This window comes from Homo sapiens, chromosome 11 (genome assembly GCF_000001405.40).
Source record: "Homo sapiens chromosome 11, GRCh38.p14 Primary Assembly".
NCBI classification, from domain to species: Eukaryota; Metazoa; Chordata; class Mammalia; order Primates; family Hominidae; genus Homo; species Homo sapiens.
The window spans coordinates 90,534,021-90,554,164 of record NC_000011.10 but is presented as its reverse complement, the minus strand read 5'-3'; the positions used below and the strand labels follow the sequence as shown (position 1 = coordinate 90,554,164).

The 20,144-nt window shown below is 34.5% G+C and overlaps 1 long non-coding RNA gene across 1 annotated transcript in view; it reads right to left on the bottom strand.

The window, feature by feature from the left end:
- DISC1FP1 (DISC1 fusion partner 1) overlaps positions 1 to 20,144 on the bottom strand; it is a 663,821-nt gene that overhangs the window by 360,888 nt on the left and 282,789 nt on the right. The window contains exon 2 of the long non-coding RNA NR_104190.1: positions 7,270 to 7,411. This is a non-coding gene — a long non-coding RNA (DISC1 fusion partner 1). The remainder of the gene's footprint in view (positions 1 to 7,269; positions 7,412 to 20,144) is intronic.

Below are 20,144 nucleotides of genomic sequence, written 5' to 3'. Positions count from 1 at the left end.
TAGCAACTAGAAAATGTATAATTAAATATGTGGTTTACATTTGTAACTCACATTATATTCACATTGGATAGTACTTACATAAAGTGTTGTTTTTAATCTGCTTTAATTCAGAGACTTCTGTGTAATATATGAAATTTTTCTCAGTAAAAATACATAATTTCCCCTACAGACAAAATTATGTAAATAACTCTGTGGATTTCTTTGATATATTGAACCTGTCTGTGGGCCTAAGTTAAGAATTCCTATCATAGAAGAGTTACATCATCACACCAGCCATGCTATTTCAGAGTATAGAGAAGAGAAAACATCTGTCCTGGGGTTTTCACAAGGCTTCCACGCTGGGACACACAAGAACAGAGAAGTAAAAGATTTAAGTGTTCTGACATTTCCTACAATGATCTTGGCTTCTGTACCAATTGTTTTTCTCCTACCAAGTACTTGCTCAGTGTAAAAAAAAAAAATATATATATTTATAGTGTCTGCCTAACTTCAAGTCAGACTCCTGAGGGTAGAGACTTCCTTTGTCTTCTTCATGTTTCAAAATCAGCCTACATACATAATTTTTTTCATACTAAATATTGTAGCTCTAGCCACAGAATTGAGTGATTTTTCATATCCTACTTAGTTTCAAGATCATGTAGTCTGGGCATTTGGGAATTACATTTCATAGCCATAAAATCACAACCGTGAAATATGAATTGTTAAAGCATGAACAAACCTCAGAGAAACTTGATTGATAACGGTTGCCAAAGTGAGATTATCAGCAGTAAATGATCCAATGTTAATTTGATTGTGATTAGATGCAATGCCTTCCATGTCATAGTGTCACCTCTAAACAAGTCTTTCCATAATGAAGTAAAAATCAACCTAAGAACTAATCATGTGAAGAAATATGCTACTAGAATAATTTTGTGATTGGGTGCCACCTTCTTAAACTAAAATCCAAGAAGTGCTATGAGATTTGATAGCCACTGAGTCCTAGAATGAAGACATGTAGAAGTTCTTGTTTGTTTCCTTTTAGACATTTATTCATTTTCTTATATGACTTACAATTTTTCAGACTGCAGTTAGTCAAATTACTAATGCCAGTATATAATGTCTTTACAGAAAGTTCCTTATTATCTGCAAAATGTGTAGTATGCCATCCTTTTTCAAGCTTAATTCTATCATTTAAAAAAACAGTAAATATTTACCCTGTGCCCAATACTATAATAAGTGCCATGACAAAGACAAAAAGAAGTAGGATAAATGTTCTTGGTTTCTCCATACTTGCATTTCCCTTGGAGAAATAAAATATTTTGATTGAGATGTAGCAATGACATATATAATTCAGTGAGACAATGGAGAAACTTAACCAAAAAAAATAAGATTTAAATGGGATGGTAAATATTAGAAATGCTACAAAAAGTCAAAAGGAAAAAAAAAAAACTGTTGTGGAAACTATACATTAAAGAATCTGTTCCTGAAAGCTATGCAGCTTTGGATATCCCAGTTGAGCAGAGAAAGCAGAGGAAAGCACAAAGTCTGTGTTTGCTATTATTTTTCATGAAATAGCACATATAAATATGACAATACTTGTAAACTCATTAGGGTGAATGGAGAAACTGTCAGTGGGACAGAGACAACCAACCAAGAATTCTAATTTTCCCAGGGCCTGCCTTGGTGCACTCCAGCCTGGGGGTTTCAATATCTTGCACACTTAAAAGGTATTTATGACATATTTGTTGGAAATTGCTCATTTATAGAACAAGATCTTTCTGAGACATTACTCCTAAAAAGATTAATAGGTAATTTTTTGTGGAGGCAGGGTGTTTTGTTGTCTTTTGTTTTTTCTTTAACTTTTTTAACTATAGGATTCCATTATCTGGCCCAGGGTAGCAATCTAGAGTCCGACTGGTAGCTATGAAGTGTCCTTATGTAAGAACTCTGACAAAAAAAAAAAAAAAAAAAAAACTCTTAACCAAACTGCATCTGGCTAACTAAATCTTAAACCCTCTTAAGAAGGTTGAAGTGTGATTTCCAGAGAATATATAAAATAGAGTTAAAAATAAAAATGGAGAATTTTAAAAATAAAAGCAGTACAAGTTACAAGGGATCAAAAAACACGGGTAAATATGAGTCATGAGAGAAAAAGGGAAAAAAATGGCAAAAGCTGAGCAGAAAACACAAATGAGTAGAAAAGAATCACTAAATGGCAGGCTAAGTCAAAGAGGTAACGTTTTCTTGAGAAGGGAATAAGCTGTGCTGTTGAATGACTAGAACTGCTCTCAGACCACAAGAGCTACTGTTGACTCATGAAAGATCATGTATTCCCGTTCTCCATGGAGTCTGACTGCGGCTTATCAGAGTGCTCATTCTGTGCCTTGTAAGCCATTGCGCGTTGGTTAATGGGTGTTACTAAATGGGATGAGGCTTGAAATATGCTTGTGCATTGGGACATCTCTGCTGTTTGGAGCCATGAGGTTGTTGCATAGGAAAAAAACAAGATGTTTCTATTAGAGGATGATACCACACAGAGCAGAGACCATCCTCCCTGACTGAAGTCTTTCTAGGAACAGCCATTGTGTCTACTGCTAAGCACTATACAGGGGACTATCTTTGTCTATGCAGCCCTAGATGAGCTGACTCAGACCAAAGAAACATTCAACTAACCCAAAGAACTGTGAGAAATAACAAAGATGTGTTTACTTTTTTTTTTAATCTAGGCTTCTGGAAAGTGCCATATAACAATATTTTTGACTTTGTGAATCATATGATCTCTGTCTCAAGCATTCAGCTTTGTAACTGTAGCAAGAAAACAGTCATAAACAATAGATTAATGTATGGATATGACTGTATGCCGAAAAAACTTTATTTAAACATGATTTATAGTTCCAGTAAAAATAATGTTGCCATAGTTTACTGGCCTTTGTTTCAAACTAGTAAGTTATGACATGGTTTGTTACACAACAAAAGCTAAAAGATACACTATTTTTATTGTAGTTTCCTCTCTCACCTTTGCAAATTAGTTAACTACTCCTACTTGCCCTTTAAAATTCAGTAGAAGCATCATTTCTGAAAACCAAAAGTCACAGGTTTTGGAATCAGACCAATCTGAATTTGAAGCCCGGTTAGAATTCAATGTGGAGACTTGGCAAAGTTAACCTGTCTAAGCTTTGGTTTTTTCAGGTATAAAATATGCCTTGCATAAAATACTTTAATTTTTAAGATATTTATAACATTTTTATTTTTAGACAATTATAATACAGTTAAATATTATGTCATTATAATCTTACTACCTTCACTCTTGGTCTAGACTAGATGCTCTATAGTAACATGGTATCCCATGCATATTCCTACAATATCACTTGCCTTACTATATATAAATTGCTAAGCTTTTCTCATCATTTTTTGAGACAAAGGAATTAATGCATCACTAAGAAGAATGTTTCTTTCCTCCTCTGATGATTTCTTCCAAGAGGATACTCAGTTCTGCCTCACTTTTAGTTTCTCTTTGCCCATTTACTCAACTCAAGATACTGAGCTCAGTTCCCACCTTGTTCCTTTTGGAGAAGTGAATACCCTTTGAGAGCACACACCCTCTTTCACTTCTCTAGGTAACAGCATCACCTGTGGAGTAACCCAGTCCAAAGCTCCATAATCATATTAGTACATTGGTCTTATTCTAGGGTTCAAAATTAGGTATTAGAAGGACCCATTTGCTTCTCATATCAACCTTGGTTCTGTAATTCAGAAAGGTTTAATTTAGACTGTCATCTTCCTGTTTCTTGGTCATAATTCTCAATTGGTTCATATCTCACACAAGAAACAGAGATAAATTATTATTGGATCTCTGCAAAATTCCAACATACATGTCATATGCTTAGAACAGTTACTAAAAAACAATGTGCAATCCTTGTAGGAGAAAAGTATAGTACTTCTTTCTAATGCCAGCTAAGTAGAGAGGCTCCAAGAAATCAGATCATAAATATGGAGATTGTTTGCAAGAAAGAAGATGGGCATTTTACCCCTGGCTGGCTACTTGCTGAGCTGCTATTTGTTTGCATCAATCTGAATAAGCATGAGTGAGTTCTTGAGAGAATCTCACATATATCCCCAAGATCTTTTGAATGTAAGTTAAGTTATAGAGCAGAGCTAGAGGCTTGCTGGAGGAGACCTCATTGGCACTCGACGGACAAGCTGCACCTCAGATGCGTGAGTTTCCCTGTGGGCTAAGTGGGACTGTAGGTTTGTCCTCTTGCCATGGGTTTCCCAATAGAAAGAGGCCATAGGACACTGCTTAGGGGAAAGGAATTAACAAGGAGCATGAAGGTATCTGGAGAGTTGTTCATGAAGCTTGTTAGAAAGCAAGGTCATGAAGCTTGTAAGGGAAAAGGTCCCTGCAGGAAGATTTCCAGATAAATCACCAAAGATAAATTTTGGTGCTTGAACAGCTGAGGAAGCAGGCCTTCTTTTTTTGTTTTGTTTTGTTTTCTTTATCTCTTTTCCTCCCCTTCACAACTCCGTATTTTACTTAAGTTATAAAGCAAAGACCTAAGAAGAACAAAAATAGTAAAAGAACAAAACAAATGACTCTTCTTTCTCCTGAACTTCAACCAGGCATTAGGTAGAGAGAAGAAAAAAAAAAGTTTAAAATCTTGGCTTAAACTAAAATAGACTTTATAATACCCAATGTAGGTATTGTTATTTCAAATGAAAGAAACCAGCGTTGAACATAGAAAGAATTAACCTCTTTCCTGCTTTAATGCTACTGAATATAGCCCATTAAGAATCAATACATAGGTGCATACAAACATTAATTATTTGATTGTCTCTTTAAATAAGATTAGGTTGTTGAAATTATAGTAGAGCAATAAACACACTACCAACCCCCTTACTAGCAGAAAGAAAAATTGGAGCTGATTATGACAGGTCAGTAAAATGAGTTTATTCAATCTTATGTAAATAATAAAAAATAATTTTTAATTACTGTTCTACAAACACCAAGGTAATTTGATCTTGCAACAAAACTAAAACTGGAGCTAAATTAGCAAGCCAGCTGCAAATTCAAAAGTTTATGCATTTAAAAAAGTACAAAGAGTGTATACCCTCAGAATACAGACAAGAGATAAAAAACTTAGTATAGCCTCTTTTAGTCCATAGAAGTAATAGCTAGGTCCCTCACTTCAACATGCTATATTCTTTCAAAAGCATGATAAGGGTTCTCTAGTTAAATAGTTGTTTCTAATCTGCACTTTTATCCTTAAAAGATTTTGTAACCGATTTTGTTTTCTTCTTCGTTTGTTGTATACTTTTTATAGCATTGCTGGGCTAAACTTTTTATCACACTATTTTATCACTGCATTCCCATTTAATACAAAACCACATGACTTCTGAAAAGGTCTACAATAATTTAAGCATCACTCAGCACACCATTTCTCTGACTACATGCATTTTTTATACCCAAACTCTTATTGTAATGCTTATGATCAATAAAGATGCTTGCTCAGAAGTAGAATAAATTTCTGAATTATTAATATTTAATGTCTCAAGCTTCAAATCATTGACCAATCTTACCTAAATAAAATTCTTTTGTGCTCTCGGTGTTAGCTTATGAAAACCAGGAGTAAAAAATCAACAAAATCATTCCTATTTGTAGCAGTTTTAGAAAAATCACTTCTACATATTTATGGATAAAACCAAGTTCTATCCAATTTATTACTGCTGAAGGATGACATGGAGAAAATTTATGTAAGGTTTAGATAATGTTCAAGGAATTTGGATGAGAATTTTCTGCCTACAGAATAGATTTTCGTTCTCAAGTGTGCAAGGATTTAGCTAATTTAAGCAAAATAATAATAATAATATTTGATAAATGGATATAAGGAAGTGGAAATGCCAGAAAACAAAGCCCAGAAGTCAGAAGTGGCTTTAAAAAAATGGCTAGGTGAGGTGGCTCACGCCTGTAATCCCAGCACTTTGGGAGGCCAAGGGGGGGCAGATCACCTGAGGTCAGGAGTTCGAGACCAGCCTGACCAACATGGTGAAACCCTGTCACTACTAAAAATACAAAATTTAGCTGGGCATGGTGACACATGCTTGTTAATTCCAGCTTCTCGGGAGGCTGAGGCAGGAGAATCATTTGAACCCAGGAGGTGGAGGTTGCAGTGAGAAGAGATCACGCCACTGCACTCCAGCCTGGGTGACAAGAGCGAAACTCCGGGAAGAAAGAAAGAGAGAGAGAGAGAGAGAGAAAGACAGAAAGAAAGAAAGAGAAAGAGAGAAAAAGAAAAAAAGAAAGAGAAAGAAAGAAAGAAAGAAAGAAAGAAAGAAAGAAAGAAAGAAAGAAAGAAAGAAAGAAAAAAAAGAAAAGAAAAGAAAGACACCATAAAAACAAAGAAAGAAGAAAAAGGAAAACAGGCAAGCTCAGTGTCAGAACCACAGTCAAGTCAAGCAAACAAATAAGACCAGAGGCATGTTATTGCTGGACATTGGTTATTGCAAGCCAACGCTAATGCTTACCCTGGACACTGCCTGTCACTCCAGTTCCAGCACAGCTCCAGGATCCTGATGTCACTGCCAGCACCACTCAGTGTACCATGCAAAATGCAACTTTCCATGATGATGAGACAAATGCAAACCTAAACTGTAGTTTAGTCTTTAAATCACCCACTGAAGTGCAAAAAAATATGGGCAAAACCTCTGATTGGCTGAATGTCAGACATCTTTTTACAACCTAACTTCCAAAGTTCTGCAAAAGCAAGTATCTCACCCATAGAAGGCAAAATTTCAAACACATAAAGAAATTTCAGTACCCAGGAAGTAAAAATAAATAAAAGAGAAATACTTTTCAATTACTATTAAACTATCTGTGAGACCTGTATGACTGGGGAGACAGAGAGGAAGGGAAAGAGACAGATAGATAACTACATAGTGGTTAAGTGTCTGAGCTTTAGGGCGATATTACCAGGTTTAATTACCAGTTCCTCGTGCCAATGGCTTTGTAGCTTTAGCAAGTTTTATAATTTTAGTCAAGATTTGTAATATTTCTGTGTTTCAGTTTTCTCCTCTTAAAAATGGGCTTCATAAACATTTCTGCTTTCTATGATTATTGTGGGGATTAAATGGCATGATCCATATAAAGTATTTATTACACTGTAAGTCAGTCTTCAATGTTAGGTGTTATTAATATTGCAATTTCCTATTTTTTACTGAACAATTTTTTTCATCACTGAACATGCAAATAATAGATTTAACATTATGTTATATGTATAAAATAGAGTTTTTTACCTTGAGGAGTACGTCTTAAGCTCTTTCAAATATTTGCTGTTCTCTTTTTCTGTCTGGATCCACATCCACTCTTCTTGCTCTTTCAAACTTCTGTCTCTCCTTTAGGAGTCTCTTCAATTCCAGGTCCCTACTTCATAAATGCCTGTGAAATTACCACAAAACATAGATATTTTTGGTATTCTAGTATAATGAATGTAAATACTACAATATTTTAACAGTTAAAAACAATTATTGGTTTAATTATGTCTTTCCTCCTATTTATAAACTCTGAGGCAGCATTACCCAATTAGAGAAGGTATTGGATTTAGACAAACGGTGGTTCAAATTGTCTTATAATTACTTGTGTGAACTTCAAAAAGTTAATTAACCTCTTGAACCTCAATTTCCTATTCTGTATATTGAGAACAATAACACCTGTTTTACAGAGTTGCTGTAAAGGTTAAATGAGATTGTGTGTGTGTGTGTGTGTGTGTGTGTGTGTGTCTATGCATGTTTGCATGTATGTGTGGGTAATTATCAAAGTATGGTAGTTATTGCTCAATTGATGCCTATGGTTATTTTTATTACACCATTATATTATTTATTTTGCAGAGTACCTGAAATAAAATAGACACCTAATGACTACTTATAAAAAGAAAATAATTCTTATACTTGAAATAAAAATAAAACGAAAATTAATTTTTTATTTTAAAAATTAAAATGAAAGAAAATGAGTGTATAATAGTCAATGTATAGAATATGCCTATAAAGTAGTTCTTTTTTTCATAAATGTATATGCATATCTATCACGTTTCAGTTCCAGATAATGGAACATATTGAAGCTGATTTAAGAATTACGTTTAAAATGGATGCCCCACGCTGTATCTCTCATCTTGTTTTCTTCAGTTCCAAATTAAAGTCCTCCACAAGTGCATCTGACTGGTAGAATATAAATTTATTTAATCACTGCTTCACTAATTGATCTGTCAAATAACTTATTGTGTGCCAGTCATATGTTTGGTGCTGTGGATAAAGACTTCATGGAGTTTACACACCTAGTCAAAGAAGACACACATTAAAAGTGCATAAATAGGTTACGTACCATATTAGAACTTTAATATGATAAATTCTTTGGGAAAAAAATAAGCAAGAAATGACAGTGAGTGCCAGATGATGAAGATTGTAATTTTTAAAGTATAGAGTAAAATTTATTGAAAGGGGGACATTTGAGCAAAGAATTAAGGTGAGAAGTAAGCCATGAAAAATTTGTAGGAAAAGCATTTTAGGCCCCAAAAATAGACAATGTAAAGTCCTGGAAGAAAAGAATGTGTTTAATATTGAAGGAAAAATGAGGAGCTTCACATAGCTGGAGTGAGTGAGTCAGGAGTTCTGGGTGGTAGGAGAGGAGAAGAGAGAGATAGTGGAGGTCAGATGGTACAGAGCCTATAGGCTTTAATGGGGACTTTAATTTTTACTCTGAACAAGATGAATATACATGGAATAGTTAGGCCCTCAGACTGATACAATGGAACTTGTGTTTGAACAGGATCCCTTTGTCTAACGCATTCAGAATAGACTGAAGGGGAAGAGCAAGATCGGATGAAGGAGGGCAGTTAGGAGGCTATAGCAATAACCCTTCTCGATGATAATGGTGCTGTGCTACCAGGGGAGGTGATGAGCAGTAAATGCAGTTCTCAATACATTTTGAACATAAAGTACAAAGGATTTTCTGATGAAAAACAAGTGAGGCATACAGGAAGATTCCAAACTTTTTGAATGAGCAAATAAAAGGATGGACTTGCTACTAATTGACAGGATAAAAAGTGAAGATAAATCTCAGGTCGTGAAGGGGAGGAAAGGTGTCTGTTATTGTTTGTTTTTTGGTGAGTCATACTAAATATGAGATGTCTACTAGAAATACAAGTGGAGGTGTCAGTTGGCAAGCTGATCAATGTGAGACTTGCGATTACAGTGTTCCATGTGGCAAATGCACATTTGGGAGTTTTCAGGGAACACATCATTTTGGAAGTCATAGGACTGGTAAAGTCACAAAGGACATGAGTGTAGATTGCTAAAAACGGTCATGGCACAGGCCTAGAACACCATGTTAACAGATCAGGGGTAAGAAGAAGGACCAACCAAAGAGATTTAGGAAAGGCCAATGGGCTATGAACAAACACAAGAGGCTATGAAGTCCTAGATGCAAGCATGTTGGTTTCCTAGGGCTTCCCTAAGAAAGTACCACAAACTGGGTGCCCTAAAACAACAAAAGTTTATTTTCTCACAGTTCTGGAGGCAAGAAGTCTAAAATCAAGTTGTCCGCAGAGCTGTGCTTGCTCTAAAGTCTCTGAGAGAGGATTCCTTCATGTCTTTTCCTAGTTCTGGTGATTGCCAGGAATTCTTGGGTTTCTTAGCCTTCATCACTCCTATTTCTGCCTATGTATTTACACAGCCATCTTGTCTCTGTGTGTGACCCTGTGTATGTTTTCTCTTCTTATGAGGACACCAGTTATTGTTTAGGGACTGTACCAACCCAGGATGATCTAATTTTAGATAATGACACCTACAAATATCCTATTTGCAAACAAGGTCACATGCTGAAGTTCCAGGTGGACATAAGTTTTCAGAGGACACTATTCAACCCAATACATCAAGTAAAAAATATCTAAGGAAGTTTCCAGATGATGTTGGTAGTTCGAAATTGATAAATGGTGATATTTGATCACTATAAATAGCCACATGGTGGTCACTGAACCCTGCAACATGGACAGTTTCATGTGGTGGTAGGCAGCAGCATGTAAGCCTGACTAGATTCACTTAAATGAGAATAGAGACAACTAGAGACTGAGTATACGCAACTCTATTGAGCATTAAAATGAGAAAAAAGTGACAGTAGAAAAATGAAGTAGAGGCAGAGTAGGATAAAGATATGAGAAAAATAACTACATGCTTGCATGCTAATGGTACAAATACAGGAGAAAGAACAATATTGACACAATAGCATGTTTCCACTTAATATAATTAAGACATATTCACATAAATACAAAGCATGCTCACTCTATTTTGACGCTTTAATCTGCCTCTGCTTGAGCCTGACAGAATCTACTCCATTTATGGATCTGGAGGCAATGAGGGCTGATGGGAGTGAGGTTTGTGGAGGATGGATATCCCCTTTCAAGCTAGCCTTTTGAAGACATCCTTATCTTCTTCAATGTAGGCAAACCAGATCCAAATGTTATAGTGACCCAGCGGTCTATCCCAGGAAATGGTCAGTTTTTATGAATGATAGACTAAGTCTCTCATCTCTTGTAGCTGTAGACTAACAGAGTCAACAACCAGATTAAGAGTTTGATTCTGAAGGAGTCCTTGAATTACTAGTTTAAATTTCCCCACTCTCCCAGTGCTTAGATGAAAGAAAATGTATTAATTAAGAAAGAGTGAAATTCCCAAATTCCTTGGGCTGAAATCATGAGTATGTCCTCTGATAATAATATAATTATACTGCAAATCAACAACAAAAATAAAAGTAGGAAATCCTCCGGCATTCAGACATTAATAAGTACAATTCTAAATAATCACTGGACCAAAAAAGGAAGTATAATAAAATTGAGATAATATTTTGACTAAATAACAATGGAAATGTATATCAAAACTTGCGGGATGCAACTCTATCAGTACTTAAAGGAAAACTTAATAATGTAAAGGCTTGTGTTATGAAAGAAGAATGGAAATTAACTAATTTTTTTAAAGCACACACATAATAGATTAACAAAGAAAGAATCAACAAAGCTTGAATTTCTGAAAGGCAAATCTCTACGACTGAGCTGACTTTTCTGTATACAGGATAGGGATCGCAGGCCAGAAGATTTTTTATTAAAGAGAAATAGTATGTGTTTGCCTCTGTGTGTGTGTGTGTGTGTGTGTGTGTGTGTGTGTGTATGTGTGTGTGTAATCTATGAGATTCTGAAGATGTTTGTTAATGGAGAATAGTCTAGTCAATCCTGATTAATCCAGGGAATTGGAAAAAAGAATACCTACCAACATTTTTATTTTTAAGAAATAGGGTCTCATTCTGTCACCCAAGCAAATGTGTAGTGCCACCACTATAGATCATTTTAGCCTCTAACTTCTGGGCTCAAGCAATCCTCTTAACTCAGCCTCCCAAGTAGCTGGGACTACAGATGTGTGCCACTATGCCCAGCTAATTTTTATTTTATTTTTAAAAGTAGGAACAGGGTTTGACTATGTTGCTAAGGCTGGTCTTGAACTCCTGGCCTCAAGAAATCCTCCCATCTTGTCCTCCCAAAGTGCCAGGATTACATGCATGAGCCACCATACCTGGCCACCAACTATTTTTGATGACTAGCATAGCCTTGGTCTTAAAATTCTACAAAGACACTGCAAGAATACACAGAAACAGAATACACACCAATATCACTCCTGAATATTGGCAGGAGGGAATGTAAATAACCTTAACTCAGTACTACCATGATATAAATAGGATATATTATAGCTACCATTGAAGTAATAGATACAGCACTGCAAATCAGGCTTAAATGAAGCTTATCCAAGTATTTTCTTTTTTTGTAAGCCATATCACAGTCTTCCTGTGTTTAGCAACACTAGATGGCACTTCACTACACTTGGTGGCATATTAAATGTGAACTCACCCAACAAACAAACATAAAAATTTGGAAAATGTGGCACTAAATAGACTGCAAAAAAGGATACTCTTTACAGCATGAGAGTTGAAAACAAAAAGACAGAGAATCACCTTGTTCAACCTTAGCTGGGAAGAGGGGTATTGGGTGACTTAAGTTTCTCATAACACTGAGTATGTCTCTGAATGACCATAAAAGTGCATAGAACATTGATTTGGGGGTTACAAATAATTTTTTGCTAGTAGAATAATTTGCAAAAATGAAATCCACAAATAATAAATATCTACTATATATGTAAGGATATACCTGCAGAAATTATACTTAATGAGGAAATATTGAAAGATTTCCCTCTGAGATGAGGAATAAGACAAGGTTTCCAGGTATCACCAAAAATCTTCAACATTGTCCAGTGCTAATGAGTATATTAAGTATGAAAAACTCAAATAAAAATTGAAAAGGAATAAAACAGTCAATATCCATAGGTAATATGATTGTGTATTTTAAAACTTAAATATCAATCACATACTTTAATTTAGCTAGATTGAATATACAAATATACAAAAATCAGCTTATTTATTTATAAAAGAAAACAATTAAAATGTAATTTGAATCAATGTTATTTATAATGTCATAAATGATATTACATTCTGAGAACTAAATCTAATAAAAGGTATATAAGACATCTCTGGAACAATCTATAAAAATTTAATGAGAGAAAATTAAGTGATACACATGTTTAGGCATAGGAAGACTTAACATTATAAAATGTCAATTGTCTCTAAATTGATCTATAGATTCAATATGAACTCGATAAAAATCCCAGCAGGGATTTTACATTGGAAATTAACAATTATTCAGAAGTGTATATACAAAGTCAAAGGGCCAAGAACAGTGAATACTTGATACTCAAAGATACACAAAGGGGGAGAAACTACCCTATTGAACAGAACAATTTATTAAAAAGCCACAATGAGACATGGTAGCACTGGAGAAAAGATAGACAAACACACCAAGGAAACTAAATAGCAACACCAGAAATACAACATACATTTATGGACGTTTAATTTATGACAAAATTGGCACGCCAAAATAGTCAGAGAGTGATAGTGTGTTTTTGTTTGTTTGTTTGTTTGTTGAGACCAAGTTTCGCTCTTGTTGCCCAGGCTGGAGTGCAATAGCATGATCTTGGCTCACCGCAACTTCCACTGCCTGGGTTCAAGCAATTCTCCTGCCTCAGCCTTGCTGAGTAGATGGGATTCTAGGCATGTGCCACCACGCCCAGCTAATTTTGTATTTTTAGTAGATACAGGGTTTCTCCGTGTTGGTCAGGCTGGTCTCAAACTCCCAACCTCAGATGATCCACCCTCCTGGGCCTCCCAAAGTGTTTGTTTTTAAATAAATAAGTTGGGACATTTGGAGATCCAAATAGATAAAAATACTTTTGGAGTCTTACCCTCTACATATACAAATAAATCCCAGATAGATAATAGCCTTAAATATGCAAAGAAAAATAATAAATTTTTTAGAACATAGCAGAGGAAAAATCTTTATAACTTTGGGTTAGAAAATAATTCATTAAACAAGACTCAAAAAGCACTAACTCTAAAGAAAATAAATTGGTAAAAATAGGCTACATTGTAACTAAGACTTTTGTTCATAAAAGTATACCATATTCTTAGTAAAAAATGGAAGCCATAAAATGGGAATAATTATTTGTAATATAAATATCCAATGAAAGTTTTATATGTGGAATATATAAATATCTTTTACAGATAAATAAGAAAAAGGCAATCAGTCCTTCACACAGGAGGAAGTTTAAACATGTGAAAAGTTTTTTAAGCTCCTCTTTAATCGGAAAAATATAAATTAAAATCATAAAGAGATAATAAAACAAACATACTACACTGGAAAAATAAATACAAAAAAATTATCATTTTATAACTAAGAAGAATATTAATTCCAAATTTTGGTGATGATTCTGAGCAGCAACTCTGGTATAAGAAAAGTGCTAATAGTTGTAACACTGGAGTGGAGAGTATTCAATTATAGTTTCACAATCACTAGTTATTTTATAAGCCTTTGTCTCTCTAAAATACTTGGATAACATATGCTTCCTCTAAGAGATAAATGGGATACTTACAATTAAACTAACATGTGCGTAAGCTCTATTCACATTTAAGGAGAATAAAAGGATCATCCACTTTATAGATTGGCTCCCAATAACCATTTTTGGAATTAAAATAATACTTTATTAAAGCAAATATGAACTTTGTATTACATTTCCTCAGTCACAATCATGAACAAATGGCAAATATCAGCACTATTCACAATAGCAAAGACATGCAATCAATCTAGGAGCCCATAAACAGTGGATTGCATAAAGAAACTGTGGTACGTATGCACTATGGAATACTACACAGCCATAAAACTGAATGTAATAATGTCCTTTGCAGCAATATGGATGCAGTTTCGGTCATTATACGAAGCAAACTAACACAGAAACAGAAAACAAAACATCACTTGTTGTCACTCATAAATGGTAAACAATGGGTAAACATGGACGCAAAAGTGGGAACAACAGACAAAGGACTCTAACAAACCTGCACATGTACTCCTTGGATCTAAAATGAAAGTTGAAATTAAAAAACAAAAAAAAGGAATTACCAAAAGTAAGTATAGAAAAAGAGACAAACATTTATGGTAGTGAGGTTTGCTACACATAAAGATAGCAAGAACACACAGGGCAGTAGAAAGTGCTACGGCAGACAAGAAGGTGCTAATCATAAAACTAGAATACCAATAAATATTAAAACATGGGCTCTGCTTTTACCATCATATACAGAGAGAGATCTGCCAGAGAGAGATTTATGGAAAGTTAAAGAACAGCGGTCAGTATAGCTCTGATCTTGGTGTCCATGGCTTCTCTGGCTTCCATTATAGTAATCTTAGGTGAACTTTAAAAAAAAAAAAAGTGTATGATTTAGTTCATAATTCTGCTACTCTTTTGAAATGGCTTTCCTTTCTATCAAGAAACTGTTTCCAAAACCTTCTTTAAATATGTTTACAGAAAAGATAGCTAATTGACAAAAGATCGCTATATCTTAGATTTGTGCCAAGCACAATGTCATTCTGGATTTTATCAACTGCAGAAAGCAAAATCAAGAAAATATCTTCTTGTAGTTATGGGCTTTATTCTAAAAATTATCTGTGAGATAGATTGCTGTGAGACAATTGTATCAATAGCCCTTTTATTAACTCAAATACTTCTATCTTGCTCCTAATGCAATCCAGTAGTTCTTCTATTATTTAAATGAGATTCTTATGTTCAATAATTGAACCTGCTCTGAAACATCAAAACCAGAGTCAATAGAATAAAACGCAATAATGATGTGGATCCTTGCTCTAAACACCACACTAAACTATGGGAAGATATTGATCACCAACACTATGGGAAGGTAGAGTGGAGGAAGGAGCATGTAGGGAGTAATGAAGAGAATCATAATGAGGCATGTGATGGGGAGGATACAGCACAGCAGGAGAAGCTCCTGGACCCCAGGCACCTGGGCTGTCTTCTGAATGGCACTGCTATCCAGTTTTATAAACTTGAACAAATCATCTGATCTCTCTTGGTTTCTGATCCTTATTTCTAAAATACAAAGGCTAGATTCAATAGTCATTACTAAATTTTTAGTATCTGTCAGAATTTTCCAGTATTCATAAGGAGATATAAATACTAAAAATAGAGAGAATATGTACTATATATGACAATTAGAAACAATACATGGGCATTATGACCCTGTGGTTCTGGAGTACACAATATTATTATCCCTTGTGTAGAGAAAATTTAGCTGAAACCATACAACTGTCAAAGTGTGGATCTGGAATTTACCTGTAAGTCTATTAGACTCTAAAATTCCTATTTTTTTTTTACCAAGTAAAATGAAAATAGGAAGTCTGAAATGACCACATAGGTAGTCCAGACATCTATTATTATCTTTATTATTATTCTCAATAATGTAGAATCATTATTTCCTAAATCTCTGATCCAGATATTTTCTAAAATTCGAAGTTGAATTTTTTTTCCACACTAGATTTCTCAGACATGAAAACAAATGGGCAGATTATGGCAAGTGAAGGCAAAAGGAATGACATTTGCTAATATGTCAATACCATTTGTAAGTAAAATACTTGTTAATTAGGAATCATCTACATTGAGTGTTCATCATGCTCTTAACCCTTCCTAAGGCAACATAAAGATCAAGAATTAGAAGGCATAGAACTTGCAACAAATTTCCAATGACTGGGAGGAGAATATTGGTGTATACAGAACAAGAGTTAACACTACATGACAGAATGTATATGGAAACAATATAAACACAAACTAACCAAATACGTATGTTTATATAATATGACAAGTTTTAGATTCTGTAACTGTTTGAATGAAAGAGAAATCAGTGAGTCTAAACCAGTAAGGAAAGTCCTTAAGGAGGAAGTAGAACTTATGCTGTCCTTAGAATGAGTAAGAGTTAGGTAAGCAGAAAAAGAGATGAAATAATTCTAGGTGAAGCTAACAGCATGGTTAAAAGCATGGGAAGTTTGAGGACAGTGAAGAGACCATTTGACAACTTCAAAAATCACTAAGTTATAGTGTGGAGAACAAAAATCCTACTCTGAATTGAAGTGATATTAAGATTTTGGAAATGAAAATTCATAGGGCTTTTCAATAAGGGAGTATAGCATGATGAAAGTCATGTTTTAGGGAAACTAAGCTGATATGAAGACGTATTAAGTAGTGAGATGAGAAACCAAGAGACCAACAAAGAGATTGTTGGAATAAACCGGATATGGGAATATGAGAACAAGCCAGGATTGGGAGAATTATTACATTTGGGCATGCCCACAGACTAACTGAAAATAGAATAATTATTGTTTAATGGAACATTTTTTCATCTTCAGTTAACATTAAGTCAGAGTTGATGTTTAAATTCATAGACTGTTCTTGATAAATTTTAAGAAAGGGAATTTACTGCCACCTAAAAATATTCTACTAGAACATATTTTTTTCTGAATATTAACCCAGAGCTTAAAGCGATTTCCAAAGGTTAGTTTCCCTACCTCTTGCTAGAATTGCTTTCAAGCCATGCCAGACAGATCACCGTATATATAACAATTTAAAGATGATCTGGAAATTTATTCAAAGATGTCACTAGAATGAGGATACTGAAATTACAGGAAAACTTATTTCTACCCAGATAGACTGAAACAAAGAGCTCTGACAATCTTCTAGAAAAAAAGAAACTAAAATATCTGTTCATCATACAGATAAAAAGGTGTAAACAGCATATGTCAGCCTTTAAAAAACACATGGTGTATAAAAATTCTCAGTGCATAAAAATTAAGAAAGGGTATGATCTCATTAATGTTATTGCTAATTGGCAACTAAAAGAGAAAAAAAAATAATGCTAATAAGGTAGCATTCTTTTCCAGCTAGCTCAAAAAGCTGAACAGAAAGTATCATAATAAAATCTACACTAAATCCATTCTGTTCTGTTTGCTTTTTGACACGTCAGCTTAGAGCATGTTGTAGAACTGAGCAGGAGGGCATGGATTTTTGTGTGTGTGTCCTGTTCAAATTCATCTGAAGTGTCTGGAAGTGGTAATGGTGCAGTCTTCCACACGAATTTTTTTTATAACAGAGTTACCCCCAATACATAAATGTAAATGGTCTTTTATATATCTCTTAAAAGATTAAAGATTTTTTTCCTTCAAATATTTGGCGGTGATAGCAAAGGCATGCACTAACTCACCCATAGATACTGACAAATCCTGCAGAACATGCCATAGGATAAAGAGCTCCAGAGCACTGAATTTGAACTCAAAAGTTAAGCTGTGGTTTGGGTTGTGTTCTGATATCTAGTTATAGACCTTAGATAAACCATAATGCTTGTCTGAATTTCAGTGTCCATATCTATAATACAGGACTAAAAATATGCATCAGGTTGAGAATCAGGTTTCTTACTGTTGGAGTTTATAGATAACCAAGCGAAAATGTGTAGAATGATCCATATGGTAATGAATTAGAGTTGGTGACATTAGTATACACTCATGTTTAGCTTAATGTAGATAAAGATGCTTATAGAAGTATTTATAGTTATGTGTATATATGTGAATTAGTATAAAAACATATTTTCTTGCTCTGTCCACTGAGATGACTAGAATCAATGACACTGCAGTAGCTATAAGCACACCTAGGACTCAGATTTTGATTTCTAATATTTATTCTCCATAAAAGCAACCAGAGCTCCAGGGATCCTTGGAGAAATAATTGATTCTGGGACTGAGACAAGAAATGTCTAAGACGAATCTAGGTCATCTTGCAGATGCTAGAAAGTGCTCAAAACACACACACACACACACACACACACACACACACACACTATATGTAAATGGGCATGGGAGCCAATTGAAGGACCTCCCAATGGCAAAAGCTGGAATAGTTTCACCAAAACAAATAGGTAAAATTTAATGTTACTCTGGTATTACCCTTTTATTATACTGGTAAAAAAAACTGATTAACTAAACAAATAAATTGGGGAAAATAAGCATGGAAGATGAAAAATTCCAAATAAAGTATGTAGATACCTTGCCCACAAGGAGATAAAGTATAACCTCTTAATCATGACTAGTGAGTGGGACTAGTTCCCAAGTGAAGAATATGGAAAGGGGAGAGAAAAAAAGTAACTGTAATGGAGAAATCTGACAAAAATTACCTCAGCTGGGTGGTGAAGGTCAACATCAATGATGCTAAGGCTTATTATAGTAGGTAACCTTAATATGATGTATTAAAAATTGTCATGTTACTTCTGTGATCTTTCAAAAACATGTAACTCCAGTCAAATCATGAGTAATTCTAATTGAGGGACATTCTACAAAATATGTGAACAGTACTCCCCAAAACTCTCAAGATTATTAAAAACAGAGAAAGTATGAGAAAACATGACATCCAAGAGGACCCAAAGGAGACATTACAACTAAATGTAATGGAATACCCCCGATGGGATTCTAGCAAGGGAAAAAAATAAATAAAAATTAAGGAAGTTTGAAAAAAATATAAATCTTATTTCATAATTTATCAGTATTGGTTCATTAATTACAGTAAATACACCATACTAATGTAAGATAGCAATCATAGGGGAAACTAGGTGAGGGGGAATTCTTTGTACTATCTTTGTAAGTTTTCTGTAAATCAAAAACTTTTCTAAAATGAAATATTAATATATTTATTACAGATGAGGTATTGCTCTGTTGCCCAGGCTGGCATCAAACTCCTAGACTCAAGTCGTCCTCCTGCCTCAGCTTCCCAAGTAGCTGGGATTATAAGTTTATGCCATTATGCCCAGCTTTAAAATATAGGATTTATTTTAAAAAGTTATACAAGGTATAATCTAGAGTTGCTATATAAATCAAATAAGGTAAATATGGTAAATATGTAAGGTACAATTCAAATTGAAATTTCCTTTTTCTATCTTTCTCTCTCTCTGTCTCTCTCTCCTTCCTTCCTTCCTTTCCTTCCTTCCAAGTCATATAGGTATATGGTATAGGTGGCACTTAAAGAAAATTGGAATTAAATTTCTAGGGCATTTCATCATGTCAAGAATGCTTCTTCCTCTCAGGCTGAGCTAGAAATGTGTTGTTGGTTCTATTAAATGCAGCATCAACTCTGGCTTCTGTTGAATTTATATGTGACTATTGAAATAGATTATGTTATGTTATAGTAACAAATATCTTCCAGAACTCTGTGGCTTAAACCTGAAAAACCTTTCTTGTTCACAATACATTTTAATTACAGTTTGATAGTTCCAAATAATCTTCACTCAGGGACACAAACTCAACTCCACCAACCAGAATCTCACCATTTTCTGTTCCGTTGTGGTAATGGGGGAAAATATGGTATATCTTAAAGATGCCTATGTCACAATGACACATGTCACCTCAGCGCACATTTCATTGGCCAAAATAAACCATCTGGCTGCATCTTTAAGGAGGTAGAGGAAGACAATCTTACCATATGTCTTCAGGTAGTAGAAGCACAACTATCAGTGAACAGAAGAAGTGACTACAACATTTTTTGATAACTCTGTTATATATTATTCATTCATTCAGACCATATTTAAGAACCAACTACATTTGTTCTGAATGCAATTGGAACATTTGTGTGTCAGAAATTCATTCTTT